At 38.0% G+C, this 18,931-nt stretch overlaps 1 protein-coding gene across 68 annotated transcripts in view; it reads right to left on the bottom strand.

Annotated features, from left to right (window-relative positions):
• Window positions 1-18,931, bottom strand: part of TRMT11 (tRNA methyltransferase 11) — a 285,804-nt gene that overhangs the window by 224,406 nt on the left and 42,467 nt on the right. For 26 of the 68 annotated variants that reach the window (XR_007059327.1, XR_007059304.1, XR_007059310.1 and 23 more), the window contains 2 exons: window positions 9,013-9,233; window positions 7,093-7,143 (listed from right to left, as the gene is read on the bottom strand). Coding sequence is in view for 19 of the 68 variants with exons in the window: in NM_001350593.2 (NP_001337522.1) it covers window positions 9,102-9,233 (132 nt within the window). In the remaining 49 variants the exon portion in view is untranslated. Of the gene's footprint in view, window positions 1-7,092; window positions 7,144-8,661; window positions 9,234-18,931 lie in introns of those variants that run through there. The other 42 variants (NR_146802.2, NR_146801.2, NR_146796.2 and 39 more) reach the window with 2 other exon arrangements.

Raw genomic sequence — 18,931 nt, 5'->3', positions numbered from 1 at the left:
GGGCCCTTTCCACTTTAGTAGTCATGAGGTCTGTTTGATCTACTCCAAAAAGGGAACAGCAGGCTAGCTGGCTTAAGTGTTCAGTTTTGACAGAAGCCCAGTAGTGAAACAGGAGAGTTGCCTGACTCCTTCGTGGAACTTGTGACAGGGGTGTGCTCAAACCCCTTACGGGAAGGGGAGCATGCAGACAGGCAGATGCAGGAGCTGGGCGAGCGCTTTTGGGCTCCAGCCCCACGGTAGCATCTAGGACTGTGTTACGATTAATGGTCTTTTAGCAGTTGCCGTCTGTGGACAGCTAAGTGTTAAACCAGCTCAGTGGAGAGTCAGGGTGACAGCCTTTTACACCTTGCCCTCTTGATACCCGGGTCCTTGTCCAGCATGCAGGAAGAATCAGGTCACACACAAACTTGAAGGATGGTGAATACGGGGCTTTAACTGAGTGGTAGAGGTGGCTCTCAGCGGGATGGATGGGGAGCTGTAAAGGGGATGGAGTGGGAAGATGATCTTCCCCTGCAGTTCAGCCATCCTGCAACCAATCTCCTCTCCAACCATCTCCAGCCAAACTCCTCTTGATGTTCAGATGCTCCTTCTCTTCTCTCCTTCTCTGCCACTCTTCTGCTTGTGGAGCCTGGGGTTTAGGGTTTATATGGGTACAGGATAAGGGGGCATGGCAGGCCAAAAGGCAACATTTGGGCACAAAAACAGGAATGCCTGTTCCCAATTAGGGCCGTGGGTTTTCAGGCTTGAGGGTGGGGCCTTTGTCAGGGCGCTGCCCTCTTCTACCCAGTATTTCCCTGCCTCCTGTCCATATCAGTAGTAGCTAATACTTAGTTGTTTTTCAGAAGCCGTGTATCTGGCCAGCCATGTCAAGGAGTCCAGGCATCCAAAACTCCAAGGGCACCTCTGGATGAAGGGTATCTCCTTTTACCAGAGTCTCCAATCAGCAAAGTAATCAGTTACAGGATATTCTATAGCTCAAAGGTATCATTAGGTTTCTGTAGCCTTAAAGACACTAGTACCTATCTAAATGGGGCTCTTTCTGGTTGGGCTCTAGCACTTATAGGGCAGAAAAGTTCAAGCATATAACATGTCATTTTTCTGCTATATATTCAGATGCAAAAAGAACAACGGTGCATTAAATTGGTTCAACAGGTCATACCCACAAGTTGACCTGTGGTCATGTTAACTTTCCTTTCCTATTATGAACCTTGCCCAAACCCTATCAGTTGAAACCGAGTGGACCCTTCCCCCACAGGACTGTGTAAGATGGTGAACTGGGCACCTGTATTCAACACAGCCATACAAGTTTGTGCCCCTTTCTCCTATAAAGTCCCCCAGCATATTCAGATGGGTACATGTGGTGGCTGAGTCCTGGGCCCCATCCCTAATCATCTTTCTCCTTAAAGCCACTGAGGTCAGGTTAAAGGTGGAGGGAGAAACAAGGGAACATGGGGTTGGAGTGGGAGGCTCCATGCCAGTATGCAAGGCTTTACATCTACTTTTAGTATTTAGTATAGCAGCTGCTTGGAGCTCAAATAAATGAAATTCCAATGATTTTGGTCCCCAAAACAAAGCAAAATCCGACAATGTTTTGGCATTGGGGACCCTTTGACTCAGTAACCATGGACACATGGTCTTCAGACTGAAGCCACTGGGTTTGTGTCCTTTGTCTGACTCTAGCTTGACTTACATTGACATTTTTCTTTTTTTAGGAGTTCATCTTAATTGACAGCATCTTCACCAGTACCAAGAAATATCTCTTAAGTTCTGGCCCGGTTTTAACATAAAAGGTAGAGCACTTTTCCAAGGTTGGGGGGCCAACTCCAAGAATTTATCTAGAATTCTCTGGGTCAGTTTCTCATTCTTCAGTAGGTCGCCTTCATCAGAACGGTAAACTCAATTCAGGGCAGTAAAAGACCAAATACTAGTTAATGCCTCTTCTATCCCTTCCCACAGGAGTTTGTCTCAGGGATATATCCCTGAGATGCCAATGCTCTCTGAAAGCAACCAAGACCCACTGGAAAAAAAACAATCCTTTATTATTTTCTCTGAATGGATATTAAGTCTGGCATGACAGACTGCCAGGAGGAGCTGAGCCATAAAATAGCCCACTTGTTGCCCATGTTCCTTAACAACCATGATGTGCCCTGCCACCATATGTCCCAAGCAAAACAGCCAAAGTTCTAATGATTCACCTATTGTCTAAGAAGGTACACCCTTCAGCCCACTCAGGATATATCTTAGTACTAATTGTTATAGTGGGGTGGACTTGAAGCTAACTGGCAAACTGGTGAGGAAACACCTCTCCAAACGCCCAGAAAAGGGTTAGCAAAAAACAAGGAACCATTTGGGTAACTATCACTGGACCTACTTTCTGATACTTGGCCTGCAACCACTGCCCCATTTGCTCCTCATTAACAGGCAATGAAGTTGAGGACCATGTATCATCAGGTTGATCATGAAATTTGGTCAACATGCTTGCTAACAATTACTAAGGACTTCCTATGAATCCTGTTAATGAGCCCCAAAGCCCTCCTCCTCTTCCAGAAAGCTATGTGTCTGTCAGCATCCCATCCTCATGATCAAAAACCATCAAGAACCATGAAGGGTCTGAGATTTTGCTCTATTGCAAGCGCCTGACATATTCATTGAAACTGGTAAAAGACATACTCCTAGGTCACATACAAAGAACTTTATTACTTATTGTACAGTAAGCAGGGCATGACAATCTGCAATTTTTTTTTTTTTTTGAGATGGAGTCTCGCTCTGTCACCCAGGCTGGAGTGCAGTGGTGTAATCTCAGCTCACTGCAATCTCCACCTCCCAGGTTCAAGCAATTCTCATGTCTCAGCCTCCAGAGTAGCTGGGATTATAGGCGTGCACCATACCATGCCTGGGTAATTTTTGTATTTTTAGTAGAGATGGGGTTTCACCATGTTGGCCAGGCTGATCTCAAACTCCTGACCTCAGGTGATCCACCTGCCTCAGCCTCCCAAAATGCTGGGATTACAGGCATGAGCCACTGTGCCTGGCCTGATAATCAGCATTTTAACAATCAGTTCTTCCTTATACCCAAGTCCCAGAAGAGTGACCAGATTAGGCCCAGATGGGTGCCTGCACTTACAGTAGGTTGTATTAGAAAGAAGAAATATTAAGCTTAGGGAACCCAATCTTTTATAATGGGCAGTAAGCATGCCTTTACTCTGAAAGGAAGACACTATCTTCCAAGGTTGTACACAGACTTAAACCTCTGCTCCAGAAGTTAAAAGCGAGGGGGAGACAGGGGAGAGAAAGACTCTATATCTTCCAAGATTGTTCACTATACAAATATCCTCAAAAACACAGTATAGGACACAAGAAGTCTGTGCCTTTCTTAGAAAGACATATAGAAATGCAAGAGATCTATGGAGAATTGCTTCTCAATTGGTATGTAGAAAAATGGAGGCATCATGCTACCTGACTTCAAACTATACTACAAGGCTACAGTAACCAAAACAGCATGGTACTGGTACCAAAACAGAGATATAGATCGACGGAACAGAACAGAGCCCTCAGAAATAATGCCGCATATCTACAGCTATCTGATCTTTGACAAACCTGAGAAAAACAAGCAATGGGGAAAGGATTCCCTATTTAACAAATGGTGCTGGGAAAACTGGCTAGCCATACGGAGAAAGCTGAAACTGGATCCCTTCCTTACACTTTATACAAAAATTAATTCAAGATGGATTAAAGACTTAAACGTTAGACCTAAAACCATAAAAACCCTAGAAGAAAACCTAGGCATTACCATTCAGGACATAGGCATGGGCAAGGACTTCATGTCTAAAACACCAAAAGCAATGGCAACAAAAGACAAAATTGACAAATGGGATCTAATTAAACTAAAGAGCTTCTGCACAGCAAAAGAAACTACCATCAGAGTGAACAGGCAACCTACAGAATGGGAGAAAATTTTCACAACCTACTCATCTGACAAAGGGCTAATATCCAGAATCTACAATGAACTCCAACAAATTTACAAGAAAAAAACAAACGACCCCATCAAAAAGTGGGCAAAGGATATGAACAGACACTTCTCAAAAGAAGACATTTATGCAGCCAAAAGACACATGAAAAAATGCTCACCATCACTGGCCATCAGAGAAATGCAAATCAAAACCACAATGAGATACCATCTCACACCAGTTAGAATGGCAATCATTAAAAAGTCAGGAAACAACAGGTGCTGGAGAGGATGTGGAGAAATAGGAACAGTTTTACACTGTTGGTGGGACTGTAAACTAGTTCAACCATTGTAGAAGTCAGTGTGGCAATTCCTCAGGGATCTAGAACTAGAAATACCATTTGACCCAGCCATCCCATTACTGGGTATATACCCAAAGGACTATAAATCATGCTGCTATAAAGACACATGCACACGTATGTTTATTGCGGCACTATTCACAATAGCAAAGACTTGGAACCAACCCAAATGTCCAACAATGATAGACTGGACTAAGAAAATGTGGCACATATACACCATGGAATACTATGCAGCCATAAAAAATGATGAGTTCATGTCCTTTGTAGGGACATGGATGAAATTGGAAATCATCATTCTCAGTAAACTATCGCAAGAACAAAAAACAAAACACCGCATGTTCTCACTCATAGGTGGGAATTGAACAATGAGAACACATGGACACAGGAAGGGGAACATCACACTCTGGGGACTGTTGTGGGGTGGGGGGAGGGGGGAGGGATAGCATTAGGAGATATACCTAATGCTAAATGATGAGTTAATGGGTGCAGCACACCAGCATGGCACATGTATACATATGTAACTAACCTGCACATTATGCACATGTACCCTAAAACTTAAAGTATAATAATAATAAAATAAAATAAAAAAAGAAAAAAGAAAAATGGAAAAATGCAAAGGCAATTTGGCTCTTTGTGCAGAAGTCACTCCAACTTGTGGTGAGATACTCCAAGATTTATACACAAATTTTAAGGGACTCTTAAAGATTTTTAAAACTCATCAATAACAACTCAGCCCATATTGACCCACTTCACCAACTTACAACACATTACTTTGGCAGTCCATCAAAGCACAACTCCAATATCATAAGTACCATTTACATTTTCAATTTTAATTTTCTCCTCAGCCTTTTTCCTTTTCTTTTAATTTGACTAACTTCACACATAAGCCCAGCTAATCTTCACTGCTGCATGTTAGCCAAAATAGAGTTCTTCCGATAAATCCTCAGGAGAGAGCCAGGGAAGCTTGATTAAAGGAGAGATTTTTAAAGTCATAGAGGTCAAAACAGGTTCCTTTTTAGGCAATTCAGTTTGGCATGACTGCAACATGATTATCTTAGTAAGAACTTCCAAATTTTAAAACAAAAATATACTAAGCACATCTTAATATCACAAGAAATAGGGCTAGCAGTTACATAAGGGAAGCTGACTTATCTTAACATTCATCTATTAAGCCCTATTTTGTTCCATGACCCAGGCTTAAAAGACTGCCATTACAATTAAACCTCCATCCCCCAAAGAGCCCTGTCTACAAGGGCTTATAAAGGAAGGGATAAGAGCCAAATTCCAGGTTGGCCTCAGTTATGTCTAAATGTCAACTTGCTTATCCCACACAGTGAAACATATGAACATCGTAAGGCAGATCTCTTTTAAGGGAAAGGGGTCAGGTTCCCTAGTTTTTCACCCCAAAGGATAGACAGGAATGTGCTGGTCTCTATGATTCTATGACCAGATAGAATCACAGTATGTTTACCATTCCATTATAATTCTTTACACTCTAGACACTATGTTCTCAAACCACTCTGTTTTAGAGAAGATCTCAATGTTTTAGTAAAGTACAAACACCATCAGTCTGCTGTTATTGTCTCCATGTGTATGTTCTGGATTAAGGCACTTTTTTTTGTTTGGATTACAAACCACATTACTTGATAAATATCTGAGAAAAATGGGAGTGGGTAAGTCGGAAATCAAAGTAGATTTCACTTATTCTATGAATACAGTCCTTCTAAGAACAAAGATTCTTGCAAGTGTTTAGTTTTCTAAATAACTTTAAAATGGAACAGAACCATAGCCCAGCAAAAAGAGCCAAGGTTCTTATTTTGGAATAATTTATTCTCTTTTGGTCAAGCAGGTCAACAATAAGGTCATCAATTGCCTTGGCAACACTCACCTCCATTTCCACCACTGCAATGCATTAATGAGTTTATTTATGCCTTGCTTTATCTACAAAGAATTTTTTTCCTGTTAGAACTATTAACATGAGCCTAGTTCCACTGTGCTTTTTCAAGGGAGATTTATTACAATGGGATGGAAAATAAGATCATTTCCCAAAAAAGTCACCTTCAGTTTTCAACAGAGAAACATTATGTTTTATTCCATATCTCTTTGGATAAGCAATATTTGATAATATTTCCAGCATAAGATGTCAGCAGTTCTTCTAACACCAAACGACTAAGAACTTTTATTCAAGAGCCAGAGTTGCTTATATTGGCATCTATATAACACAACCTCAACGTCTAATTTCCTGGTGTTGAAAAAAAGTCAAATCCCTGCTTCTTTAATTTACGAGTATAAAACATATTACCTTAAAAGCTATTTCCATGTCTCAAACTTTTAAAGCACAATTTTAACCCAATAAAATAAACACACCCACTACAATGCCTCCCGTGATGTTAACACATACTCTACTTTCCCCTACAAAACTTGAAATAAGGTTGTTGTTGTTGTTTTTTGTTTTGTTTTTACTTATAATTGCCATCCTTCTTAAATATGTAGGGAATCTCAATATTTGAGTGAGTTTTCTCAACAAGGAAATAGTGGCAATACTGACTTACCTCCCAGAGCTTAAACAGTTTGAAAATGTTTTATTGCTCAATCCTTGTATTTAAAGAGTTAGTCATAAGGAAATCAGTGGCAAGCTGGCCCAAAGCTGGGTCACCCTGGGCAGGAAGTGGCTGAGAAAATTGTAGCAGATTTTAAACTTTTCAAAATCTGCTGGCCACTTTGGCTAAACACAAAGACCACCTACTCCACTATTTCCTCCCAGCTATTAGAGCAAAAAGTACTCACCAGAATAGACGGGAAGGAGGCACCTCTGATGAACACCACCAAGGTAACCGTCTGGAGTTTATGGATATTTAATATATGCCAGAAACAAAATTATACATTTTGTCATATTATAAACATTAAAATAGGCCAGTCCACAGACCACCTAGAATTCCTTCACAGATTATACTGTAAATCCAAACTACAGGACTTTCTGAAATGCAGGCAATTTGCTAGGTGATATTGTTGCTGTAAGCACATGAGGAATACAGTGGTAACATAGAAAACCAGAGCAATCCTGGAAAGGATCTGCTGTAACTTACGCCGAAAGTAATAAGATCCTAACGCCAAAAAATAAAACTCTCTCGTTAAAATAAGAGGGCTTGAGACCTATGCTCTAAAACCAAAATAGTTTGGAAGTAATCAGGTTTCTTTTTTATTTATAAGTACCAACTAAACAAATTATACTCTGAGCCTAGTGACATTTCAGGAATGGGAAACTGAACTTCCTGATTAATACAAAAATAAGCCTCATAATAGGAATCATAGTTTAGAAGACCTCAATTAGTAGTAATAACAAATAATTTCAAATATTTTTTAAGTGTTGGATAATTTTTAAGGATAATGTGACTAAAATTAATATTCCAACTTTCCAGAACTATTTGGACTAATCTTTGTGACCACCCAAAAAAGGGGCTAAGCTAAAATCTCATATTCCAAATTGAGTCAGTGACAAAGTTTCAAACTCACCTCCCATATAACCTCGAAACATTTTAAATAAGATGGTTTAAACAGAAAAACTGAAAATAAATCATCCTTGAATACTTTTAGATTTCCCCCCAGTGTACCACAAATCACATCCAGAAACCCAAACAAAATAATCAGTGAAATGTTTGAGATCTGCTGCTGAAATCCTGAACTGCAAGACAAGAAAAAGAGAGCAAAGCAGATAGCCTGATGTCTCTTTGCTTGGGCAGCACTATACTTTTAGAGGTCCTAAGCTGTGCACATTAATACTCTGAGTCCATAAAAGTCAGCAGTAACACTAAAATAATAATAATAATAAATACAGGCTCTGGTTAGAGAGAGAGGATCCATTTACTGCCACCCTGCTGAGGTACATTTGACCACCAAAGGCAAGAAAGCTATTAGCATCCTGAATTAATGGGTATAGTGGTTTTCAAGCAAGATATTTTCATGATGGACACAATGTGGACTCAGCAAAGTTTCTCCTTCAAGAAAAATATAGCTTCTATTTCAAAGGGCACTGATTAGGCTTAATACCATTAAGGAACCATCAAGCATTTGTGTTGCTGTTACTGCTTTTAACTATCCGTTACTTTCTAAACCAAAAATTGTGGGTAGTTAACTTGAGCAACAGTCAACGGTTAGGAATGCAGGAGCAAATCCAAGGTACAAAAGAGCTTCAAATGTAGACAGGCCTTAAGGAGTTTGGAATCTTTCTAGGTTGTCAGGTCTTAGCCTTTCTTATCATCACTATTAGCATTGTTATTCCTTCCTTGTCTGGAATTTCTAAATAAAAATTTATTTCCCTCATCACATCCCCCATGAAGACAACTAGATATGACACAATTTTAGAAATTCTCAATATGGTTTATTAGTGGCAATGTAAATCGATGACAACCAAAAACCAAATAAACATATCTACCAAATGAATAAATTCTTAACTACTATTAATTGCATATAATATATCCAGCAGATGTTTTAAAAGTCAACAATATTAATTCCCTTTGTAGATTAATTGTAAAAAAATAACTGTTTTGAGTCTATCTCCATCAGTACTTGAAAGTACAAATATACATTAAATAAGATTATAAAGACTGTAATACATACAACAAAAAAGTCTATAAAACAAAGATAACTTTAAAAGCATTGCTCAATTTACTTTGTAGCTTTTCTATATAAAATATTTTAAAACCGTACCTATTTTCTGGATCATACATGAAAGTTCACATCCAGATGTCTTTTTAAATCAAATTCTTATTCTTTCTTCATTGTCAAAATCTTAATTTTCATTCCTGGGTGGATTTTTCTTCCTTGGCAATTCTTTTTGTTACCCCACTAAAATATTTCTCACGGAAGGAATTATGACCTTGGTATGGCAGAAAATGATCACTTAGCAGATGTGAATACTGGTCCCGATTCTGTTTGGTTGGAAAATACAAAATGTAAAAATTATTTCTTTAGTTAGCTTATACCAAAGCAGTTGTTTACCTTAAGCAAAATCTTAAGCAAAATCTCACTCTCTAGTGCATATTTATCTTCCTTCACTACTTGAATTAGAAATATACCATCACTTTACATCCTTATCATGCTTGGATATCCAAAGTGTTTTCATTTACCTCATTAAAGCCTCACAAAAGACCTCTGTACAGAGGACAAATTTCTTTTTTTCTTTTTTTTTTTTTTTTGCCTCAGGGCAAAGAGAGTGGTTCCAAGTAACAGAGTCAAGGCTATAACTTTCTTCTGATTCCCAGTTCAGCACACACTGAAGTCATCTGTGCCTATGGATAAAAAGTACTAAACAAGGAAGCTTCTACTCAAGAAAAACATGTGAACCAACAAAATAATGCATTTGTGTGAGGTCATACAGACACACAAAATTGTCTGGGGGTATTTCTATATTCAGTTAATGAAATAAACAATTCGTGGAAACTTTAAGTGAACATAGTAGATGAAGATACAGGCTAAACAAGAGATTTCCATACTTGTAGACTTCACAGACAAGTAAGGACTACTGCTCAGACTGACGTCTAATGGTAATAGCAACCTGGGTTAATGTCAAACATATTTTGGCTTAGAAAATTGAGGTTCCTGGCAGGAAACACTGAAACACTGGCTTCTCATCCAACTGTGAAAAATATCTAATTAGACATAAAATTTCATTTCCCATGTGCTTCTATAAATTCATATTCAATTACACCTGGATTAATGTGATTTTTGAGGACAGGTATGGAGACTTAAATGGAAAACATGAAGCCTAATTTTTTATCCAGATTTCAGTATCAAAATGGTAGCTAAAAATATAAAAATATATCTGGAATATAACAATCCTCAAAATATTTTTTCATTTTTGCAAAAATATTTTTGCCTGTATAAAATGAGTACCTTCATTTTTCCATCATACCTAGCATTAATAAAAAAAATCCAGGTTTAGCCAAAATAATGTTGGCACATTTGTTTATTCAGAAACTGTTTTTGCCACATATATTTTTAAAATCACACCAAAAACCCAGATTATCAAAAATTAAACATGCCCAGATTTCCTGATTCATCAAAGAGAAATAGGTAGCTACTGAAATTTTATGGCACCCAAGTATATTACAGTTCCAAATTCCTGCAAACACATGAAAACATGTTAAAGGTTACTATTAATAACTTCAGTCTACATACAATCCCCAAAAAGATAAATTTTAGAGAGTCAATGTGTAGGTATACAACTAAAGATACCAAATGAAAGGTAACATTTGCTGGTTATTTTGTATGGACCAAAAACAATACTAAATGCTTTATATGTACGACCTAACAAAACTTGTCAGCTCTAAGAAATAAGTAAACGATTAGTACCACTTTACAGATGAGGAATTACTTAAGAGTACAGGTCCAAGATAATACACCTGGTAAGTGGCAGAGCTAGGCTTTGAACACAGATCTGTTTGACTCTAAAGACTGCACCCTTAATTACAATGTAATGAGGTTTTCTCCAAAAGAGCTATCTTCTTCCCCAACTCAAGAAGCAGGAGGAGCTCTGAGAATATAGGTGATGGACTAAGGCCATGACAGCTGAGGAGCCCACCAAGAAAGAAGTAGAACTGGATGAGAGGTCTTACTAATGAAGGCCTATTAACTAAGGATATATTTCAATGGCACAGACTTTTCATATCAAGAGGAGGTGTAAGAGCCACAGGGAAGCTGAAGGATAACAAAACCCTGAAAGAACAGATGACTCCACAGGTAGACTCAAGTCTGGTCCACATATCAGGACTGTGCCAGGATAACGGCAACACAGAACAATGTTCCACCATTTAACGTCAACTACTTCAACTTTCATCAAAAGTCTGACTGAAGTCCATCAACTACTCCTCCAGGTATTCGAAATTCTGTCCTTATGTCAGTAAGATCACTAGAAAACTTGATCACTTCCTAAGCTGTGTTAGCTTAATCCTGGCAGAATGTTTTTCTTCGGTTTTTATTTTAAAGCTATGTCCAGATGCTGTCATCTTTTCAGCTACCATGTTGATCCTCACAATTCTTGGCATTGTTCCCCATCCAGTCATCAAAATCAGAAACCTGCGTCAAATCCCTCTTCTCAGATTTGGTCAGTCCTAAAATCTTAACTCGTATATCCTAAACATCTCAAATCCACTTCTCTCCACTCATAACTCCAACATTTAATCTAGGCCTCCCTCATCCCCGCCTCTTTTCCGTAAATGGCCAGCTGCCCTGCCTCCAGTGTTTCCTTCCCTAGTGTATTCTCCATACTGAGACCAAACCTAATTTATTAAAATGCAAATTTAATATGCCAACCGCTTGGCTAAAATCTAAATAAGTTCAAATTGTCCATAATTCTCAGGCTTTCCCTTGATATCTGGGGCTTACATTCAATTACCTATCACTTTGCAGAATGACATCTCACTTTCCTCTGTACAAGGGGAATCAGAATGCAGTCAGGTATTCTAGCTCTGCCCTCATGTCCACTATTCTCCTCATGGCCCCTCTAGGCCATGCAAGATCACCTCCCCCTCAAACTGCCTGTGGATTACTTCATGGAATATTCTAGAACTGCAGTAGTAAGGAGGCTAAGGTAGGACAGAAATGTGATTCCAGCAAGCTGACCCAGGCTCAATTACTAGCGTGCCTAGCTGACCTAAGCTGTGGTTATGCAGCTCACAAGAGGGAGGCAGAAGACAAAGCCCAAAGCACAATGGAAGATGGGCTTCCTCTACGGACCAAAGGAAGGGATTAATAAAATAGTTTATCTTTGACCAGAGGGATAGAAATAGGGCAACTATTGGTAATAAAATCAGAGAATATAAAGATTAGAGTCAGAGACTGGGAATGAACAGCAAAAGCCTGAAAAATCCAAAAGTAATGATTAAAATGTATGCTAACGATTATTGAGAAAACACTCACTACTTAAGACATTCTTTTCTGTAATAGTTTAGACCTCTCAGAATAAAGGCAAAATAAGCCCTTAACCGACCATGTGTTCTATTCAGTGCTATGGGGACACGGTGGCAAAGACATACATGCTACTGGAGAAGGTGGGAAAGATCATTAACCTTAGAAATGCAACTCCTGGGGAGAAAATGCTATTTTCTTATTTCCCAGGTAGTAGAGCAGAATCAGTGTGAAGTGTATGTTTGGGTTCTGTGCTAAAATGTCCCCTTTCTAGAAGACCAAATGACTCCTGATTGCAAAACACAACATCTATCATTTATAACAGAAACTCTGGAAAACCCAAAAGCTCCAAATCCCTTACACAGCCAGAGATCTGGCAGGCGCCAGTCTATTATCTAGCAGCACAAGTCCTGCTTCGAGTAAGACATTCCAAGGACTTTGGCTACTATTTTCACTTAAGTGGAAAGACCATAGTTCATAAAATATTTCTCACGAAACACTCAGTATGTCTATGGTCCAACACATATCACATATAATCATACATATAAATACCACATATCTATGAACAATACACATTTAAAATATACCCAGACCATACGAAATATACTATACTCTATGCAGCATTCAGAACTTTTATTACCTTAATGCTAAAAAAAAATGGCAAACTCATTTTTTGTTTTCTCTTTTCTCTCTACCTCTCTTTCATCCTATCTTTGGTTTAGTTTGCCAGGGCTTACATCTGAGACGATGATATTCAACTCTACATATTTTTCATCACCTTTTCATGACTCTTCTCTATTCACATTCCCTGCGCGTCTCAACCAGGAATATCTGCAAGTTGTTTTTTTTTCAGCACAGTATCTCAAAGGCCAAAGTGCTTACTTAAAAGGAGAAGAGTATCCTCAGCAAACACAATCTTTGATCTCCCCATTAACTCAAGCTCATCCCAGTGTTTGACTTTTGGTTTCGCTAACATTTCTAAATCTGTCTACCACTATTCATTGTGATATCACCTACGTATCATAAAACCCGAGTTCTGCCAAAGTTTAGTAAGCAAAACCTATTTGATGGAAAAATAAAAACACACAAGAATTAGGAAATGGCAAGAGAGAAGACTATGGTGATAAAAAGACTACAATTTCCAAATTTCTTAACCATTGATAGTAATTAAGACGATATGAATAAAATATTAAGACTATTGACTATACTATTATCATTTTTTATAATCAGAAGAGTTTCTGTAGGTAAATTTGTGCTAGCCATAAATGGCTACATAAGGAAGACATACAGCATTCAGCCCTATCATTTATCCTTTTAAGACAATCAGCAATTGTAAACATTATAAGAAATACACAAGTTATGATTCAAGAAAGGAAGATATATTTCCTACCAAACTATGTGTTATTACATAATTATTTAATTTTCCGTATCTTTTTGCAGAAAAGTATCATCTAAATTTTACAGATAGGGACACAAGGGGGCTAAAGAGTTTAAATAATCTACCACAAATCACACAGCTGGTAAGTAGCATTGCCAGAATTGTAGCCTAAATCAGACTTCAAAACTCATGTTTTTCCCATTGTGATTCTCTTTTTTTTTTAGTAGAAATTACATCAAAACAATGGCTAAAGAGTTAATTTCCCACATGGTGGATTAGTGGGTCATTCAAAATAGAGTTTGACATTTAGAGGACATTCCTCACTGAACAGCAACATTATGGTAGCACATATTTCAGATCTAAAGTTTTAGGCAGGACTCCTTTAACCACTGTCCCACCCAGCCAATTTCCTGTCCTATCAGTACTGCTAATTCTAAACATAAACCACTCGAGGAATTTTAACACACTTGCCAAAGAAACCAAAGGAAGGCTTACAAATTGGTAGTTAACTTTCATGTGTACACTACCCTCTGCTGGCTGGAGCATAGCAATCCTTCTTTAGAGTACTTCCTGATGTGAACTGAAATAGCTTACAGCACAGCAGACCATGCATCTGCCAGGAGCACCGTTTTGATAGCTGTTTGTGAGTCCCGGATTGCTGTAAACATCGAGAGTCCCACAGTCCCAACATGACCAGGCTGGCCTTTTCCTCAGGGAATGTTAGCATTTATTCACACCATTTCATTTTTAAATAATGATGGAGAAATAGACAACTACATATTCACCTCAGCGATTCTAACGTGTAACACTGTCTCAGTGTCCGACCTAAAATTCCAAACTACTCTCTAGAACAAGAAAGAAAGGTATATAAACGTGACCTTATTCAAGTCAATCTATGTTTACAACTATATATCAAAAATACAGCATTAAAAAGAACCCAAAAAGATGCTAAAGCGATTTCAGCCACTTATAATAAATTTTAATCTAATGGGGAATTCATTCTCAAGAAAATAAATCAAGCTGTATGTTCTGTAGTCACATTTGAAACTGCTGCTTTAAACACAACTCATGACCCTCTGGATTATACTGTGAGAATACATATATAAAAAAAGTTTCTCAAACTGACCATCATAAACTGCTCAGACTTCCAACATACGAAAGATTCTTCATTGAGAATTCCACTTAGATAAAACGATCCTCCTAATTACTGCCTTCTCCCAGTATTTGCTATTCTCTTTTATCACCTCCTTCTTAAATAAAGGGAAGGTGTTATAATTTTCCACAATACGTCAATTCAGCTGCTTTATTGGTTTGCTTCTCATGAGAAATGAGGCCTAGGGATCATAGGATTAAAATGTTTTTGTCCCACTGATTTTTGAAGAGTAGTATCAGGGTAATGATAAAATTCAATGTATTTTCAAACAGAAAACTTTTGGCTACCATAACTATCTGTTCCTACTCTTCCTTTAAATGGATGATTTAAATACCACTGATGTGATTGTTTTTATTCTAGAACAGCCTAGAGTAATCACTTAAAAGTCAGTATTCTTTCCATAAATATTTATTGCATTGTGAGCAAAAGAGTCAAGTTCCGTGAATTCACAGAGCTTGTACGTACAGTGGTGGGAGAGACAGACATTAAACAATGTACATCCAGACATATACTTACAAACTGTGATTAAACACTGGCAAGAAAAGAATATGGGAAGAATAGAAGGAAACACCTATCCAGAAGCGGTGAAGGGAAAGGACAAGAAAGGCTTCTCTCAGGAAGTGACATTTATCTGAGACCTAAAGGATGAATTAAATTTACTCATATGAAAAGAGGGGAAGAAAACATTCTAGGAAGAGGAAACACAGTGCGTGTGAGAAGACTCTGAGACTAAAAGGAGGTAAATCCATTCTGGGACCTGAAAGACTACGGCCAGGGTGGATAACAACTGGTAAGCAAAAGGGAAGGTGGCACAAGATGAGACTGGACAGGCCAGAAGTAGATCAGGCTGACATAAAGGTTATGTAAAGGATTCTGAATTTTATTCTAAATTCCGCAGAAAGCCATTGATGAGATTTAAGCAGAGGAGTTTCCTTATCTATTTATATTCTGAAAGATACTCTGGCCACCATGTAGGGCATGGAATGGAGGGAGAAACTGCAGAAGCAGAGAAATCAGTAGAAGATTATTACAGCAGCCTAAGAAAGCAGTACTGCCCCATGGTCCTGGGAGTAGGGATGGGGAATAAAAACATATACAAGAAAACAATCATCCGCTCAGTTGTCCCAAGCCAGATTTCTGAAACATCACCCTTAGCTCATCTCCCTCACCCCAATTATCCAATTAGTCACCGAGTCCTGCCATATCTACCTCCCCGCAAAATTCTCAATTCCAACAAGTCCCCTACAATCTCTATTCTAGCTTCCTTGGTTTATAGCCTCACCATCTTTGCCTGACTATTCCAGGAGCCCCCTCAGTAGTATCACAGCTAACTTTCCACAGCTCAAATTCACTAACACAGTGAAGCTAGGAGGACCTTCACAGAACACAGAGCTTCTGCCACTCTCCAAACATCCCTATGGGCTTGCCCTTTTACCAACAGGATAAACTTGAAACTGTTCAGTAGGTAAGGTCCCTCAACACTGGGCTTCCCTCTCTTTAGTCTTCCAGGTCATCTCCAGCTGATCCTCCCCCACTGCTCAGTATTTCCAGCTACACTGAAGTCCAGGGTTCCCCACATATACCACAATGCCTCTCATGCTTCTGTATCTTGCTTAAATTTTTGGCTTTCCAACCAAATTCCCCATCTCTTTTGCCTCAAGCACCATCTCCTTAGGTAGGTGCTTTCCTATGTTCACACAACACCTCTCACAGATCACTACAGAACACAAGATGCTATGTTGGAATATGGTTTGAGTGGCCATTTCTCCTGATGTGCAAGTTTTCTAAGGATAAGAAGCCTTAGTCTGTTCAGCCCCAACACCTGACACGAATGGTCCCATAAACACATGTTGCGTGATGAAAACTATGGCCTTCCTCTCAAGGAACAGGTAATTAAGTAAGAGAAATAAAGTATACAAAAATAGGAAAAGTATATGAATGTAAAAATTGTTAAGCAAATGGCTTTTTTTCCTATTTCTCATAGTACCTTTTCTAAAAGTTCACCTGTCCTCAATTCTTACATTTAGTATCTGCTTATTTACTCAGCAAAAACAAAAACAAAAAAACTTGCATCCTTCTTTACAGAGCAAACAGCAGTTATCAGATATGAATTTCCTCAACCTCCTTGCCCCAACCACCATGCCCATCCTCTACTACAAACTGGCTCCTACTCGCTTCACTGTAAAGTCTCATCTCCTGCACCGCTCCCTATCAATATAATGATCAAGTCAAAATTCTCTCCTGGTGTCCCTTCATTGCCAAGAGTTAATTTAATAGAATTCCTGAAACTTCAGTGAAAATATCTAACAATGGTCATCAATTTATAAAATCACTATTCTTTAAAAATAAGATATTTCCACTTTCTAGAGGATGAAGTTGCAGAGCTCTATAGTCATTCAGCAGAAAACCAAATGGCTTCTATTTTAATTGTAGGTCAGGTTTAAGCTGTCCTTTTACTCACTGACAGTTCCTGATAATGATATAATGATTTCTTCTACCTCCCTAGTATTAACCTTAAGTCATTTATAGTCTCAAAGTGACAGTAGTTTATACAAAACAGCAGCTTCATTGCAAACGCTTGAATACAAATGGCTTATGAAATTTATTCTATGATAAGTGAAAACCAGTGATGCTGTCACCATAGTGAAAGCCACCAAACTAGAAGTGTTCATCCAATTTTGTGGGGAAAAACTTTTTAGATTCATGGAACCGATTAAAGCTATGATATACATTCTTAAGTAAGGTGTGAGGAAGAAGGCAAAGAGATGGAAGAGAAAAACAATGGGTCGGTTTATTTTCTTTTAATCAGCAGAGAGTGAAATGAAATGTAAATGACAGTGCTGAATATAACGGGGCTCAGTTCAGCTTCAGGGTAATTACCCATGTCCAGCTTTTGTTTAAAAATCCTGCTCTCCTTATCAAAGCTTCCCACTGTTCTACATCTGGTACTGGACAGTAGCTATAGAAACCACTTGTGCTAAAGTTATACAACTATAAACAGCACCAGGCCATTTCCAAACCAAGGACAAGCAGGTCAAAAGTCTGGCATCCAATACTATTAAGAGAAACCTCTAGCATTATTCTTAATGAGAACAAGGTACCATTGGAAATCTTCATCCTTGAATTAGGTATTTACATATAATCTATACTTTTTAAAAATTTCACTACATGATAGTAAGTTACCTAAAATCTATGAAAGTATTTTAATACGTATTAAAATCTTCATATCTAGAGTGCTCAAAATGAGTGACAATGATTAAACTTTGACATCTGGCACTCAACATGTAATTTCTTAATACTTATAAAAAAAACATTGGGGATATTAGTCCTTATCATGACAACATAGAAGTATTAACACTTTCTATATGCTATCTACTAGAATCTGTACTTTATAAAAGTCAAAACTTTATCTTAAATGATAAAAGAATACAAAGTCAACACACTAAACATTTAATGACTTGTTAGTTACTGTATCTAATATTTCATTAAAACTAAAAATCTTGTTTAACACCTTCTTGAGTAGCAATAAATGAGTAGCAGACCAAAACATGTGCAGGCATGCACATATATATGCTCTCACTTTAATGTAGAGACTATTCCTCTCCTAGGTGAGTTTTTTAAATTTCCATAATCCATTAAAAGGATAATTAATAAAAATGAGTATGCATTTATACAAAGATCAAAACCAGGCAAACCTATATTGCTTAGGGATGAATTCAATAGTGGTAATATTACAAAAGAAAAGCAAGACAATGATTATGATTACCGTAACAGTCAGAATAGTGGTTACATTGCAGGGGGAGGTATTTATGATCAACAATGGCCACAAAAGGGGGGATCTTCTGGAGTGCTGCATTACTCTATAACCTTGACCTTGGTGGCAGGTACATGGATGTTCACTTTATAATTACTAAAGTGTACATTTATGTCTTATGTAAAAAATACGCATTAAAAATCTCAGAGTTAGATTCTTAGAAGATCATAAAGTGGAAAGAGGACATAAGTTTACATGTGAATTTGAATAACACCAGAAAGATAACTCTAAGTTAAATAAACATATGACAAATAAGAAAAATACAAAAGTATACAATGAGGAAAATCTGTCACTCATGCAAGAATTATAAAAGAAGCTCTAAAGGATTATGTTGATTCCACATAGAAACTTCCCATTTCTCTAAATTATTCATACC

This window comes from Homo sapiens, chromosome 6 (assembly GCF_000001405.40).
Source record: "Homo sapiens chromosome 6, GRCh38.p14 Primary Assembly".
Classification (NCBI taxonomy): domain Eukaryota; kingdom Metazoa; phylum Chordata; class Mammalia; order Primates; family Hominidae; genus Homo; species Homo sapiens.
Note: the sequence above shows the minus strand (reverse complement) of the source record. Positions and strands in the feature narration are given on the sequence as shown.